The 17,064-nt window shown below is 37.8% G+C and overlaps 1 protein-coding gene across 1 annotated transcript in view; it reads right to left on the reverse strand.

Annotated features, from left to right (window-relative positions):
* The window catches only part of MEIKIN (meiotic kinetochore factor), a 138,674-nt gene that overhangs the window by 42,048 nt on the left and 79,562 nt on the right, over positions 1 to 17,064 (reverse strand). The window contains exons 10-11 of the mRNA NM_001303622.2: positions 5,717 to 5,797; positions 2,227 to 2,346 (exon numbers count right to left, since the gene is read on the reverse strand). Coding sequence (NP_001290551.1) covers positions 2,227 to 2,346; positions 5,717 to 5,797 — 201 coding nt within the window. The remainder of the gene's footprint in view (positions 1 to 2,226; positions 2,347 to 5,716; positions 5,798 to 17,064) is intronic.

Below are 17,064 nucleotides of genomic sequence, written 5' to 3' on the forward strand. Positions count from 1 at the left end.
AGGAATTGAAGGAAACTACTTCAACAAAATAAAAGCCATTGATACGGTTTGGATTTGTGTCCCTGCCCAAATCTCATGTGAAATTGTAATCCCCAATGTTGGAGGTGGGCCCTGGTGGGAGGTGACTGGATCATGGGAGTGGTACTTCACAGGGGTGGTCCCCAATTGTTTAGCACCATGCCCTTGTTGCTGTTCTAGTGGGGGAGTTATTGTGAGATCTTGTTGTTTAAAAGTGTGTGGCACCTCCCCATTTTCTCTCTTCCTCCTGCTCTGGCCATGTAAGATGCCTTGCTCCCCTTTTGCCTTTCACCATAATTGGAACCTCTTTTCTTTATATATATAAAGAAACCTCTTTTCTTTATATATATAAAGAAACCTCTTTTCTTTATATATATAAAGAAACCTCTTTTCTTTATATATATAAAGAAACCTCTTTTCTTTATATATATAAAGAAACCTCTTTTCTTTATATATATAAAGAAACCTCTTTTCTTTATATATATAAAGAAACCTCTTTTCTTTATATATATAAAGAAACCTCTTTTCTTTATATATATAAAGAAACCTCTTTTCTTTATATATATAAAGAAACCTCTTTTCTTTATAAATTACCCAGTCTCAGGTATTTCTTTATAGCAATGTGAAAATGAACGAATACAGCCATATATGAAAACCCACAGTAAACATCACATTCAATGGTGAAAGATGGAAAGCTTTTCCTCTAAGATGAAGAAAAAGGCAAGGATGTCTGCATTTTCAACATACTACTGATAGTTCTAGCCGGAGCAATTAGGCGATTAGGAAAAGAAATAAAAGGCATCCAAATTGTAAAGCAAGAAGTAAAATTATCTCTGTTCACAGACAACATGGTATCACTGTGGAAAACCTTAAAGATTGAATTAAAAATTATTAGAATAAATGAATTCAGCAAATTAACAGGACACAAAGTCAATACACAAAAATCAGGTGAATTTCTACACACTAACATAAGCAATTTGAAAAGAAATTACCAAAAAAAACAAAAAAAAAGAAAATAAATTACAATTCAATTCATAATAGCATCCAAAAGAATATTTAGGAATTAACCAAATAAGTCAAAGACCTACACAATAAAAACTATAAAACATTGGTAAAATAAATTAAAGAAAACATAAATAAATGAAAACACATCCCATGTTTATGGATTGGAAGATGCAATACTGTTAAGATGCCATTACTACCTAGGGTGATCTACAGATTCCATTCAATCTCTATCAAAACCCCAATGATGTTTATTGCAGAAACAGAAAAACCCACTTTAAAATTCACATGGAATCTCAAGGGATCCTGAATAGTAAAAACAAAAATGAAAAAGAAGAACAAAGCTGGAGGACTGACACTTCCTGATTTCAAAATGTACAAAGCTACAGTAATCAAAGCCATATGGTACTAACATAAAGACAGACATATAGATCAATGGAATAGAGAACTCAGGAATAAACCCTCACATATATGGTTAAATGATTTTTGGCAAGGGGGCCAGACCATTCAATGGGGGAAAGGATGATCTCTTCAACAAATGATGCTGAGAAAACTGGATATCTACATGCAAAAGAATGAAGCTGGACCCTTACCTAATACTATACACAAAAATTAACTCAAAATGGATCAATGACCTAAATACAAGACCTAAAACAAAAAAAAATTGAAGAAAATACAGGGCAATAGCCTGGGCACCATAACGAAACCCAGTCTCTACAAAAAATACAAAAAATTAGCTGGGCATGGTGGTGTATGCCTGCAGTCCTAGCTATTCGAGAGGCTGAGATGGCAGAATCACCTAAATCCTGGAAGTCAAGGCTGCAGTGAGTCTGTGAGCCTTGACTGCACCCTGGCACTCCAGCAGAGAGGACAGAGTGAGACTCTGTCAAAAAAAAAGAAAGAAAAGAAAAGAAAAAGGCAAAAAGCTTTAGACATTTGATTTGGCTGTGATTTCTTGCACAGGACACCAAAGGAATGAGCAAGAAAAGAAAAAATAGACAAACTGTACTTCATAAAAAATATACAATTTTGTGCATCAAAGACCCTAACCAAAGTGTAAAAAGGCAACCCACAGAATAGGAGAAAATATTTGCAAATTATGTTTCTCATGAGTTAAGAGATTTCTTATAGCACCTCATATACAAAGTATCTAATGTAACAGTAATTATTTCCTTTAGTAATTGAAGGAAAAATGGAAAATACTACCTCATTTGAAGAATTTTCCTGCAAACTTGACACAGGAACAATTTCATTTGAATTAACATAATTGCTGACATTTGGAAATAGTTCTTCAAAAGATGCTTTTTGCACTGAGGACAAATCAATCTATAAAAGAATACATTATTGTTTTGTGGAAGTTAAACATTGCAAAAGCAATGATTTTTAAGTAATTAAAGAAAAGTTGAAAAATACCATCTCATTGGAAGCATTTTCCTGTAAACTTGACACAGGAACAATTTCATCTGAATAAACGTAATTACTGACATTTGGACATAACTCTTCAAAAGATGCATGTTTAGAGACAAATCAATCTGTAAAATGGGTTATAACATTCTTTCATTTTAAAGTAATTTTTTAATTAGGAATTTTTGTTTGCTATGATACACCAGAGATTTTTAAATCACTATCTCTAACATAGAACTCTCTCCTAAGTGCCATATCCATTTTTCTATCAGGTTACTGAAATCACCACACATTTCTGTACCAAATTAAAAATTTCCAAAAAAGATGACTGATTGATTTAGAGATGATTTAAGGTGTGCAGGATGCACGTAGGTTATATGCAAAAAACCAACACTATGCCATTTTACATCAGGAACTTTAGCATCCACATATTTTGGTATCTTTGAGAAGTCCTGGAACCAATTCCCCATGAATACTGAGGGATGACTGTATATAGTTAAGACAACTGAAAACATGTTTAACAAACACTTGTCAACAAATGTTCATAACAGTATTATTCATAATAGATAATAAATGGAAATAAATGCGCATAAACTGAATTGATAAACAAAATATGGTATATGTATATAATGGAGTATAATTCAGTTGATTTGGTTTGGCTGTGTCTCTACTCAAATCTCATCTTGAATTGTAATCCCCATAATCCCCATAGGTCAAGGGAGGGACCCGGTGTGAGGTGATTGAATCATGGGGGTGGTTTTCTCCATACTGTTCTGATGATAGTGAGTGAGTTTTCCCGAGATCTGATGGTTTTATAGGGTAGTTTTCCCTGCTCTTCCATGCTCTCTCCTCTGTTGCCATGTAAGACAGGCCTCTTCCCCTTCCACCATGATTGTAAGTTTCCTGAGGCCTCCCCAGCCATGCGGAACTGTGAGCCAATTGAACCTCTTTTCTTTATAAGTTACCCAGTCTTGGGTATGTCTTTATAGCAGTGTGGAAACAGACTAATACATAGGTCATAAAAAAGGAATGCAGTACTGATACCTGCTATAACATAGATGAATTTTTAAAACATTATGCTAAGTGAAAGAAACCAGGCACAAAACGCCACATGTTATATGATCTCATTTATATGAAATACTCAGAAAGAGCAAACCTATAGAGACAGAAACTAAATCAGTAGTTTCTTTGGACTGGAGGGTGGGATGGGGGGATGAGGGCTGACTATTAACGAATAGGGTGATGAAAATGTTCTTAAATAGGATCATGATGATAGTTGCACAGTTTTTAAGTATGCTAAAAACCACTGAATTATATACTTTAGTATACTGAGTTTTATAAAACGTAACTTGTACCTCAAATTTAAAAATATGTTGATATTTGTAAAATAGTCACTAAATTAGTTTTGCCACGAAAAAAATCATTTTGGTACATTTGTTATTCATCAATACATTTTAACTCCAAATATCAACCAAGAATGAATAAAAAATGAGACACTCATTTTCTGGAAAAAGTATTGATTTTTGGGCCACTGGAAAGACTGTGAGCAGAGGATTAACAAAATCCTTTCTCCCATCATGAGCATCTATTGGTTAAATCTGTAACTCCTTTCCCCTAGGAACCTGATAAGTGTAAGAATGTCAACTGTGTTACTAGGTAACATTGCTTATGGTAAAAATAATGTCTGATTGGAAAATTGTATCTATAGGAGGAACTATAAATGCACTATAAATAAATAACTACTGCACTATAAAAGCTAAAATACTTTGAGTTTCCCTGAGTGCAGGGACATTGTAATTACACATGTCCTTTGTGGAGACCATGGACGTTATGCATAAGTGCTGTTACAAAAGATACTGGATTTCATCTCCTTGTGCCTGAGCAGTCCCCACACTGCTATGTAAGCCGCTGCATGGACCTCTGTGAGGATTGCTCACACTGAAGAGGAACATTGGATATTTGACTGAAGACTTGATGACACTGGATTTGATAATCATTTCTTGGATATGACATCAAAAGAACAGGTGAGAAAAGAAAAAGACAAATTTTACTATGACAAAATAAAAAACATTTGTGCATCAAAGGACACTATCAACAGAGTGAAAAGGCAACCCATGGAAGGGGGCAAATTATTTGTAAATCATATGTTGGGTAATGGGTTAACATCTCAGATATATGAAGAACTCCTACAACTCAACAATTAAAAATTCAAAAATAAACAAAGGACTTGAATAGATATTTTCCCAAAAAAGATATACAAATAGCTAATTAACACATTAAAAGATGCTCAGTGTCATCCTTATTAGGGAAATACAAATCAAAACCATAATGAGATACCACCTCACATCCATAAGAACTACTATTACAAAAAAGAAAATAACAAGTGCTGGCAAGGAAGTAGAGAAACTGGAACCCTTGTGCATTTTGCTAGTGGGAATGTAAAATGGTACAGCTACTAAGGAAAACAGTGTGGTGGTTCCTCAAAAAGAAAAATTGAATTACAATATGCTGTAGCAATTCCACTTCTAGATACATACCCAAAGAATTGAAAGCAGGGACTCAAACATATATTTGTACACCCATGTTCATAGCAGCATTATTCACAATTGTCAAAAGGCAGAAGCAACCCAATTGTCCATCAATAGATGAATGGATAAACAAAATGTGTCATATACATACAATGGAGTATCAATTCATCCTTAAAAATAAAATTCTGATGCATGCTGTAACATAGATGAATTTGAAGATGCCATGCTAAGTGACATAAACTAGTCACAAAGGACAAATACTGTATGGTTCCACTTATATGAGGTACCTAGAGTAGTCAAATTTATAGAAACAGAAAGTAAAATGGTGGTTTCCAGGGGTGGGGTAGGGAGGAGCAGGAAGTTACTGTTTAATGCATATGGAATTTCAGTTTTGCAAGATGAAAAAAGTTCTAGAGATGAATAGTGGTGATGGTTGCATAATGATGTGAATGAATATACTTCAACTGTACACTTAAAAATGGTTAAAATTATAAATTTTATGTTATATATATTTCATCACAATTTTTAAAACTGAAAGGAAAAAACAGAAGAATCCTGGTTGTTGCTGCAGTACTCTAATTTTTCCTTCTCTCTTGCATGTATAGTAGTATACAAAGTACTTTCATTGAAAGTGTGCTTAAGCAACAGAAAAACACAGATATTATTCTCCATAGGCAATATTTCCCTGATATGAGAAAAATAGAAGAATGGGGAGAGGAGGAGCCAGAAAACAGATACTACAAGTGCCAAATGCTAATACTTACCACAAAACCAGCTGTCTCTGAAGATGGAGTACTTGTTAAAAGGCCTCTGTTTTTCTTACCAGGAGTACTGGAATTTGTTTTCTATAAATGTTTTTATAAAACAGGGATTGAACAGCAGAAAGAAATAAACTATTTTAGTATAGTAAAACTACAATTTCAAGTTAGTTGACCAGATCATAATGTACAGTACTAAGAAAATCCTTAATCTGTTCATTAAATTTTAAACCACTTCACAGGAAACTAAAGAATTTTCTCACTTGAGCTAGATCAAACAACATCCAAGAGAACTCTATATGGCATAGCAACTATATGAGAATACCTTGGTTGAAATGAATACCTTGGTTGAAATTACTATTAATTTAGAAAGAAAAGCTAATTAGAGTGTTGAGTTAGGAAATGGCGCTTCAGTTATCTTTGTTAACTACTAAGAAAGGTATTTTACTTTCAGCATTTAATTCTTAGTATATTATTGTACTTTTTGTGGAAAGAAAGTATAAGTTATTTCTGGAGCTGTGAAATATATGTAGCAAGGATAATTGGTTTAAAATATATAACGTTAAATGTATATAGATACTTTCATTTATGGAACATCAAAGTTAAAGAAATTATAAAGTAGGATGTAGGCTCATTTTCTACTTTTTGAAGATACAAAGAGGCAGACAGACAGACAGGTAGACAAAGCAAGAAAGAGTAAAAGACAGAGTGAGGAGAGAAACAGACAAGATACAAGACCTAAAGAAAGTGACAGAAAGCGAGGAAGCGACAGGCCAAAAGAGAGAGAGGGAGGAAGGGAGAAGAGGGGAATGGAGAGGAGATGAAGGAAGAGGTAGAGGAGAGGAGAGGAGGTAGGAGAGGAAGAATGAAAAGCAAAAGACAGAGAAGGAGAGAAAAAGAGGAAGACCAAGAGAAGGAGAGAGGAAAAAAGAGAAAGACAGAGAAGACAGAAACCAACATAGATTGTGAGCAGAGATTGAGAGAGAGAGACAGAGAAGGACAGTGAGAGAGATCAAGACAGAGACCAAGGAAAAGAGACAGAGCTTGAGACTGCAAGAGAGAGAAAATCTAGGATAGCAAAAGCAAAGAAACGGGTAGAAAGGTAGAGTAGAAAGTAAGAGTGATAGTCAAACAGACAGAGACAGGCAGCTTTATTTCTAGAAATCAGCTGCCTTTTCGGCCTTTAGACTCCATGAAGCAACCATATCCTTCTGATAAATGTTCTTTTTGAGTAGGTGTCTCTTGTAAGATGTCAAGTCTGGAATCTTACTTTCAACCTTTCTTTCCCTTCTGGCTTAAAAGCTTTTAAACTGATCGTTGGTACAAGACATAATCTGGAATAGTTTATTAGGAAAATTTTTGTCAGAAATGTTTATGGGTATATTTACAATAAAATGAACACATCAGCCTCTAACTTACTAGCTATATTTAGTTTTCGCATTTCAACAATGAAGGTTATTCTACCTCTAGGGACTGTGATGCAAGGGTTACAAATAATATATGTAAAAAGAACCTATGGTGTCTGGAGAGTAGGAGCTACTCAATGATAACTATTATCATCATCATTGTGGCAGTCCTGAAGGTCCTCTGCTCACATTTCTTCAAACAAAGAACCAGCTGTTCCAGTGCAAGGAGTGTAGTTAGCTGACAGCCCCCAAGCACAACATCTTTAGAATATGCTTCAGCTTTCATGCTGAGGCCACCATCTTTTCAAGCAGCCCCCAGCCAATGTCTGGGCATAACAGTCCAACACAAGACTTTCATAATAGACAATCTTTTCTCCAGAACTCCCCATTGTTGAGAGCTTCTGTCAGATCTGCACTGAAGACTGGGGCTATCCCTGCATAATCCTGCTTCTTCCCTGCCTTCCTTTCTTAGTCATTAGCCCCTGATGTTTGAACTCTTTATACTGTCTGAGTATCTGCTTCCCAGAGGTCTCATTTGACATAATTGTCAACTATCAGTCCAATTTTAAAACATCAGCTTGTATGCAGCTGTAAGTATATAGCTTCCCTACATTTTTTCTTAGATTTGTTAAAATATATATATATATATTTCTAAATCTTCCCAATCAGTACATATTTATAGTCTTTTCAAAAAATATTAGTTAATAAAAGACTAGTTCTTATCAATGCAGGTTTTGGGGACTGAGGCAGCAGAACTAAACTGTTCTACCTGCATTGCTTTCTTTTTTTTTTCTTTTTATTTATTTATTTATTTTTATTATACTTTAAGTTTTAGGGTACATGTGCACAACGTGCAGGTTAGTTACATATGTATACATGTGCCATGTTGGTGTGCTGCAGCCATTAACTCATCATTTAACATAAAAGCAGACCTATAGTGGGAAGACGGAACCTTGACTTTTAGATAATGAGAGTTTAACTGAAAATTTGTAACTCTATGTTCAGAATCTTTTCCAGGCTGAAACAAATTCATAATCAAGAAATACATTTTATAGTGCTATAAAAACATTTCCAGCACTTCTCACATGTCCTATTATTTCAACTTGAAAAAAAGATTTAAACTTAGAAATAAATGATTTTCTGGAAAAAAATAACGTCACACATTTAAGTTAAAAAATCTGCTGAAAGACAAAATAGTTCGAAACACAGGTGGAGCAGGATGGCCAGGGATGCCCATCCTCCAAGGCTCGCCATACTCTTCTAGGTGGCTTTAGCTTTTGGGTAACTGTAGGACCTGGACAGAGTAGGGCAGTCTTGTCCATGAGATATGTCCAGTCCGATCTGAGTGTCCTCATCTGCCAGCCTCTCCTGGGGCCCCAGCATGGCATGCCCGCTTGTGGCACAGCCTCGCATGCCTAACCAGGGTGCTTCCCAGGGGCCCTTCTCATAGCTCCTTCACTAGCAGACCATGCCTCACCGTCAGAGAGCTCCCGCTGACCAGCCACCATGGATGCGCACCTGCCTACCTACAGCCTCCACTCCCTTACAGCCTTCCTCCACCTCACTTTGCTGTCATGCACTCGCCCAAGGTCCTCTCCACTGCTTTGCTGGCCCGCAAGCGCAGGTGACCATACTTCCTCTCTCCCACTGGCATGTGTGTGTACATGCACCCTGCCTCTCCACCACTGCTGGTGTGAGCACACCCTGCCACCGCTAATGTGCGGCACTCTGCCCTGCCAATGTGGCCTGCATGAGGGTGTGTACAGAATCCAGTGCCTCACTCCCGCCAGCAACTGTTCACCCCAGCCCACCACTGCTGCTGCTGCCACACTCAAGCTAGCATAGATCCTGCTATGCTATGCCACTGCCTGAGGAAAGGCACTGGCCAGCACTCCCCATCACAGTGCTGTGGCCAGCAGAGCAGGAACACCGGGCCCCTCCAGTGCAGCGAGTTCCTAAGCTCCTGAGACCAGAGAACAAAGCTGGGGGCCTGGTACCAGCACCCTTAGAGTTAGAGCAGTCAAACTAGGAATGCTGAGCTGAGCTCTGGCCCTCTAAAATCTTCCTCAAACAAACTTAACAGACACATAGACCAATGGAACAGAATAGAGAGCCCAGAAATAAAGCTGCACACCTACAACCATCTGATCTTCGACAAAGCTGACAAAAACAAGCAATGGGGAAAGGACTGTTTTATTCAAGAAATGGTGCTGGGATAACTGGCCAGCCATATTCAGAAGACTGAAACTGAACTCCTTCCTTATACCATATACAAAAATCAAGATGGACTAAACACTTAAATGTAAGACCTAAAACTATAAAAACTCTAGGAGAAAACCAACAAAATACCATTCTGAACATAGACCCTGGCAAAGATTTCATGAGGAAGATGCCAAAAGCAAATGCAACAAAAACAAAAATTGACAAATGGGACCTAATTAAACAAAAGAGCTTCCGCACAGCAAATGAAACTATCAAGAGAGTAAACAGACAACCTACAAAATGGGAGAAAATATTTGCAAACTATGCATCCGACAAAGGTCTGATATCCAGGATATATAAGGAACTTAAATTTACAAGCAAAAACCAAACAGCTCCATTAAAAAGTGGGCAAAGGCATAAACAGACATTATCAAAAGAAGATATATGCACAGCCAACAAGCGTATGAAAAAATGCTCACCACTAATCATTAGATAAATGCAAATCAAAACCACAATGAAATACCATCTCACACCAGTCAGAATGACTTATTAAAAAAGTCAAAAACTAATAGATGCTAGCAAGATTGTGGAGAAAAGGGGAATGCTTATCCACTGCTGGTGGGAATATAAATTAGTTCAGCCACGGTGGAAAGCAATTTGGTGATTTCTCAAAGAACTCAACGCAGAACTACCACTCGACTCAGCAATACCATTATTGGGTATATACTCAAAGGAATATAAATCATTCTACCATAAAGACACCTGCACACGTATGTTCAATGCAGCACTATTCACATAGCAAAGACATGGAATCAATCTAAATGCCCATCAATGGTAGACTGGATAAAGAAAATGTGGTACATATACACCATGGAATACTATTCAGGTGTAAGGAAGGAGTCCAGTTCCAGTATGCTTAAGTCTTTAATCCATTTTGAGTTGATTTTGGTAGACAGTGATGATGTAGTGTGAATATGTGTTCCCATCCAAATCTCATGTTGAATTGAAATCCCCAATGATGGAGGTGGGGCCTGGTGGGAGGTTATTGGATAATGGGGATAGATTTCTCTGGAATGGCTTAGCACCATCCCCTTAGTGCTGTTCTCTTGATAGAGTGAGTTCTTACAAGATCTGGTTGTTTAAAAGTATAGCATCTCTCCCACCCTTTCTCTTTTGTTCCTGCTTTTGCCATATGAAGTGCCTGTTCCTGCTTTGCCTTCCACCATGAGTAAAAGCTCCCTGAGGCCTCCCCAGAAGCAGATGCTGCCATGTTTCCTGTACAAGCTGCAGAACTGTGAGTCAATTAAATCTCTTTTCTTATAAATTACCCAGTCTTAGGTATTTTTTTAAATCACAACACAAGAACAGCCTAATAAAGGTGAGGAATAGGGGTCTAGTTTCATTCTTCTGCATGGGGATATCCAGTTTTCTGAGCATCGTTTACTGGAGAGACTGTCCTTTCCCCCGTGTATGTTCTTGATGGCTTTGTTGAAGATCAGTTGGCTGTAAATACGTGGATTCATTCCTGGGTTCTCTATTCTTTTCCTTTGGTCTCTGTGTCTATTTTTCTACCAATATCATGCTGTTTGGGTTAGCACAGCCTTGTAATATATTTTGAAGTCAGGTAGTGTAGTGCCTTGAGCTTGTTCCTTTTGCTTAGGACTGCTTTGACTATTCTGGATCTTTTTTGGTTCCATATGAATTTTAGCGTTGTTTTTTCTAGTTCTGTGAAAAACTACATTGATATGTAGTTAGAGATTGCACTGAATCTATAGATTGCTTTAGGTAGTATGGTCATGTCTAATGATATGAATTCTTCTGATCCATGAGCATGAGATGTCTTGTTTCTTCTTCAATTTCTTTCATCAGTGTTTTGTAATTTTCCTTGTAGAGATCTTTCACTTCTTGGTTAAATTTATGCCTAGTTTTTTTTTTTTTTTTTGGTTTTGTTGGTTTGTTTTGCAGCTGTTGTAAATGTGATTGCCTTCTTGATTTTTTTTCAGATATTATTGGTGTATAGAAATGCTGATTTTTGCTTGTTTGCATCCTGCGGCTTCACTGAATTTGGTTCAGTTCTAACAGTTGTTTTTTTTGTTTGTTTGTTTTTTGAGACAGAGTCTTGCTCTGTTGCCCACACTGGACTGCAGTGGTGTGATCTCGGCTGACTGCAACCTCCGCCTCCCAGGTTCAAGCAATTCTCTGCCTCAGCCTCCCAAGCAGCTGGGATTATAGGCACCCACCACCATGCCAGGATAATTTTTTTTTTTATTTTTAGTAGAGACGGGGTTTCACTATCTTGGCCAGGCTGGTCTTGAACTCCTCACCTCATGATCCACCCACCTCAGGCTCCCAAAGTGCTGGGATTACAGGCGTGAGCCACCATGCCCAGCCTGTTTGGCTTTTTTTTTTTTTTTTTTTTTTTTTGAGAGAGAGTCTTGCTCTGTCACTCAGGCTGAAGTGCAGTGGCACAATCTTGGCTCACTGCAACCTCCACCTCCTGGGCTCAAGTGATTCTAGTGCCTCAGCCTCCTGAGTAGCTGGGATTACAGGCATGCACCACCATGCCCAGCTAATTTTTGTATTTTTTAGCAGACATGGGGTTTTGCCATGTTGGCCAGGCTGGTCTCCAACTCTTGGCCTCAAGTGATTGCCTGCCTTGGCCTCCCAAAGTGCTGTGATTACAGGCATGAGCCACCATGCCCAGCCCTAAGAGTTTTTTGATGGAGTCTTTTGGTTTTCTAAAAATAAGAATAGGCCAAGTGCAGTGGTTCATGCCTGTAATCCCAGCACTTTGGGAGGCCGAAGTGGGCGGATCATGAGGTCAAGAGATCGAGACCATCCTGGCCAACATGGTGAAACCCTGTTTCTACTAAAAATACAAACATTAGCTGGGCATGGTGGTGCATGCCTGTAGTCCCAGCTACTTGGGAGGCTGAGGTAGGATAACTGCTTAAACCCGGGAGGTGGAGGTTGCAGGAGCCAAGATTGCACCATTGCACTCCAACCTGGGCAACAGAGAGAGACTCTGTCTTCAAAAAAAAAAGAATAATGTAGTTCCCAAAGAAGAGGGTCAATTTGAGTTCCTCTTTTATTCCTTTTTCTTGGCTGATTGCTCTGGCTACAACTTTTGGTACTATGTTTAATGGGCATGGGGAAGGTGGGCATTCTTGTCTTGTTCTTAGAGGAAAGGCTTTCAACTTTTCCCCATTCAGTCTGATGTCAGCTGTGGGTTTTGTCATATATTGCCTTTATTATTTTAAGGTATGTTCTTTCTATGCCTAGTTTGCTGAGAGTTTTTGTCATGAAGGATGTTCAGTTTTATCAAATTCTTTTTCTGCATCTATAAAAATAATCATATAGTTTTTGTTCTTGGTTCTGTTAATGTGATGTATCAAATTTATTGATTTGCACAGGTTAAACCATTCTTGCATCCCTGGTATAAAACCCACTTAATCAGGGTGTTTTATCTTTTTGATGTGCTGTTGGATTTAGTTTGCCAGTATTTTGTTGAGGATTTTTGTGTCTATGTTCATCAGGCCTGTAGTTTTCTCTTTGCTGTTGTTGTTGTGTCCTTGTTTAGTTTTGGAATCAGGGTAATGTTAGCCGCAAAGAGTGAGTTAGGGAGGATTCCCTCCTCTTCAACTTTTTGAAATAGTATGAGGAAGACTGGTATTAGTTTTTCTTTATATGTTTGGTAGAATTTGGCACTGAATCCATCTGATCCTGGGCTTTTCTTTATTGGGAGACTTTTTATTATTGATTCAATCTCACTACTCATTATTGGTCTGTTCAGATTTTCTATTTCTTCCTCATTCAATCTTGGTAGGTTGTATGTTTCCAGGAGTTTACCCATTTCTCCAAGTTTTCTAGTTAGTATATAGTTATTCATAAAAGTCTCTGCTGATGTTTTCTAATTCTGTGGTATCAGTAGTAACGTCTCCTTTTTCATTCCTGATTTTGTTTATTTGGGTCTCCTCTCTTCTTTCCTTGGTTAATCTAGCTAGTGGTTTATTAATTTTATCTTTTTGAACAACGAACTTTTCATTTCATTGATACTTTGTATTTTTTTAGTCTCTATTTCATTTCTTTCTGCTCTGATCATTATTATTTTCTTCTGCTAATTTTGGGTTTTGTTTGTTCTTGCTTCTCTAATTCCTTAAAGTGCATCACTAAATTCTTTACTGGAAATCATTCTACTTTTTTTCTTACATAACATTAAATTTACATAAGCACATACTACTTTTTTGATGTAGGCATTTATTGCTATAAAGTTCCCTCTAAGCACTGCTTTTATGATATTCCATACGTTTTGGTGTTTCGTATTTCAATTTTTATTTATTTCAAGAATTTTTTTTTAAAAGACAAGGTCTTAACTTTGTCACCCAGGCTAGAGTGCACTAGCACTACTGTAGCTCCCTGCAGCCTCAAACTTTTGGGCTCAAATGATCCTCCTGCCTCAGACTCCTGAGTAGTTAGGACTACAGACATGCACCACCATGCCTGACTAAGTTTTAAAATTTTTAGGAGACAACGGGGTTTCAATATGTTGCCCAGGCTGGTCTCAAACTCCTGGCCTCAAGTGATCCTCCCACTGCAGCCTCCCCAAGTGCTGGGATTACAAGCATGAGCCACTGTTCCTGTCCTTATTTCAAGAATTTTTTTATTTCCATCTTAATTTCTTCATTGATCCAATGATCATTCAGCGGCATCTTGCTAAGTTTTCAAGTACTGTATAGTTTCCAAACTTCCTCTTGGTATTGATTTCTAATTTTATTCCATTGTGGCCTGAGAAGATACTCGATATGATCTCAGTTTTTTCAAGTTTGTTGAGACTTGTTTTGTGGCCTAACATAGGATCTATCCTGGAGAACGTCCCATGTGTAAATGAGAAGAACGTTAATATGTATTCTGCAGTTGTTGGCTAAAAGGTTCTGTATATGTCTGTGAGGTCCATTTGGTCTAAAGTCCAGTTTAAATCCAATGTTTATGTGTTGATTTTCTGTCTAGATGATCTGTTGAGTGCTGAGTGAGTGGGGTGTTGAAGTCTCCCCCATTACTATATTGGATTCTGTCTCTCTTTAGATCTAGCAATATTTGCTTTATACATCTGAGTGCAGCATTGTTGGGTGCATATGTATTTAGTATTGTTACACGCTCTTCTAGATTGATCCTTTTATCATTATATAATGACCTTCTTTGTCCTTTTTTTTTTTTTTTTTTTTTTTTTTACTGTTTTTGACTTAAAGTCTGTTTTATCTAAGTATAACTACTCCTGCTCAGTTATGGTTACTGTTTGCATGGAATATCTTTTTCTATTTGATATAGTTTGGCTCTGTGTCCCCACCCAAATCTCATCTTGTAGCTTCCATAATTCTCACATGTTATGGGAGGGACCCTCTGAGAGATAACTGAATCATGGGGGCAGGTCTTCCCCATGCCGTTCTTGTGATAGTGAATACGTCTCATGAGATCTGATGGTTTTGAAAATGAAAGTTTGCCTGCACAAGCTCTCTCTGCCTGCCACCACCCATGTAAGACGTGACTTGCTCCTCCTCGCCTTCTGCATGATTGTGAGGCCTCCCCAGCCATGTGGAACTGTAAGTCCATTAAACCTTTTCTTCTTCCCAATCTCGGGTATGTTTTTATCAGCAATGTGAAAATGGAGTAATTCACCATTCCTTTGAGTCTCTATTTTTCTTTACAGATAAAGTGCATTTCTTGTAGGCAGCATATAGTTGAATCATGTTTTTTTAATCATTCAGCCAGTCTATATCTTTTAAGTAGAGAATTTAATCCATTTACATTCAAGTTTATCATTGATATGTCATGCTTTGTTCCTGTTATATTCTTAATTGTTTTCTGATCTGTACACTCTTTGTTCCTTTCTTTTTCTCTTATTTGTCACCATGTTTTGGTGGTTTTCTGTAGTAGAATCATTTGAGTCCTTTCTCCTCCTCCTTTGTGTGTTTGCTTTACTTGTGAGTTTTATAGTTTCATGTGTTTTCATGATAGTAACTATCATCATTTCACCACCAGTTGTAGGACTCCCTTGAGTTTAGTAGTAATGAATTTTCTCGGCATTTGATTGTCTGGGAAATACTTTATTTCTCCTTCATTGGTGAAGAACAAATTTGCTGTATATAGTATCCTCGGCTGGCAGATTTGTTCTTTCAGCACTTTGAATATATCATATCATTCTTTCCTGGCCTGTAAGGCTTCTGCTGAGAGAGTCTGCTGTTAGTCTAATGGGGTTTCCTTTATGACTAGATACTTTTCTCCTGCTGCTTTTAGAATTCTCTGTCTTTCACTTAGACAGTTTGACTACAATATGCCATGGAGAAGACATTTTTATGTTGTATCTGTCTGGGAAATCACTGAGCCTCCTGTATCTGGATGCCTAAATCTCTTGTTAGACTTGAGAATTTTTCATCTATTATTTCATTAAATAGGTTTTCAAACCCTTTCATTTTCTCTTTGCCTTCAGGGATATCAACACTTTGAATATCTGGTCACTTGATAGTGTTCCATAGTTATGAAGGCATTGCTCATTCTTGTTAATTTTTTCTTTATTTTTGCCTAACTGGGTTATGTCAAAAGAACTGTCTTCAAGTTCTGAGATTCTTTCCTCTGTTTGATTTAGTCTATTGTTGAATCTTTTGAGTGTATTTTGTATTTCATTCAATGAAACCTTCATTTCCAGAATTTCTGTTTGGTTCTTTTTTCAATAATATCCATCTCTTTGGTAAATTTCTCATTTGTATCCTGAATTTTTTTTCTGATTTCTTTGTATTGTTTTTTGGAATTCTCTTGCATCTCACCAAGCTTCTTTAGTATCAAAATTTTGAATTCTTTTTCCTGGGATTTTGTGATTTTTTTTTTTTTTAGATGGAGTCATGCTCTGACGCCCAGGCTGGAGTGCAGTGGCACAATCTCCACTCACTGCAAGCTCCGCCTCCTCGGTTCATGCCATTCTCCTGCCTCAGCCTCCCGAGTAGCTGGGACTGCAGGCATGCGCCACCATGCCCGGCTAATTTTTTGTATTTTTAGTAGAGACAGGGTTTCACCATGTTAGCCAGAATGGTCTCGATCTCCTGACCTTGTGTTCCGCCCACCTGGGCCTCCCAAAGTGCCGGGATTACAGGCATGAGCCACTGCACCCGGCCATGAATTTCTTTTGTATTAGGATCTGTTGCTGGAGAATTATTGTGTACCTTTGCAGGTGTCATATTTCCTTGCTTTTTCAAGTTTCCTGTGTCCTTACATTGATATCTGTGCATCTGGTGTTACAGCTGCTTTTTCCAATTTTTTTGAATTTGCTTTCATCAGGGGCACATTTTTCTGAAGATGTGTGTATGTGCATATGTGTTGGTAGGCTAGAGCACATTTGCTCTGATTCTGGGCATATGCAGTATTACTGTCTTTGTATGATTTCTTTGGCTGTAAACAGCATCAGTGTTATCTGTGATTTCCTTGGTGGCTTAGCATGTGGTTGTTAGTGGAGGCTATGATGAAGTTTTGCTGGGGACTGGGATGCCAAGTAGACTGGTCTTCAGGCCTCAGTGGCAGCAGTGGTATGTTAAGCATGCCTGTCCTTGGTCCCCAAGGCAGCACAACCTGGCATTGGTGTTAGTGGATCCAGGTAGCCAATTCTTGGGCCTCTAGGTGTCTTGCTTGTGTGCCAGGTATGGCAGCAGTAGGCTGTGCAGGTGGGTGAATTCTAGAGTCCTTGTGGAGTGTGCATGGCAT

Source organism: Homo sapiens, chromosome 5 (genome assembly GCF_000001405.40).
Source record: "Homo sapiens chromosome 5, GRCh38.p14 Primary Assembly".
Lineage (NCBI taxonomy): Eukaryota > Metazoa > Chordata > Mammalia > Primates > Hominidae > Homo > Homo sapiens.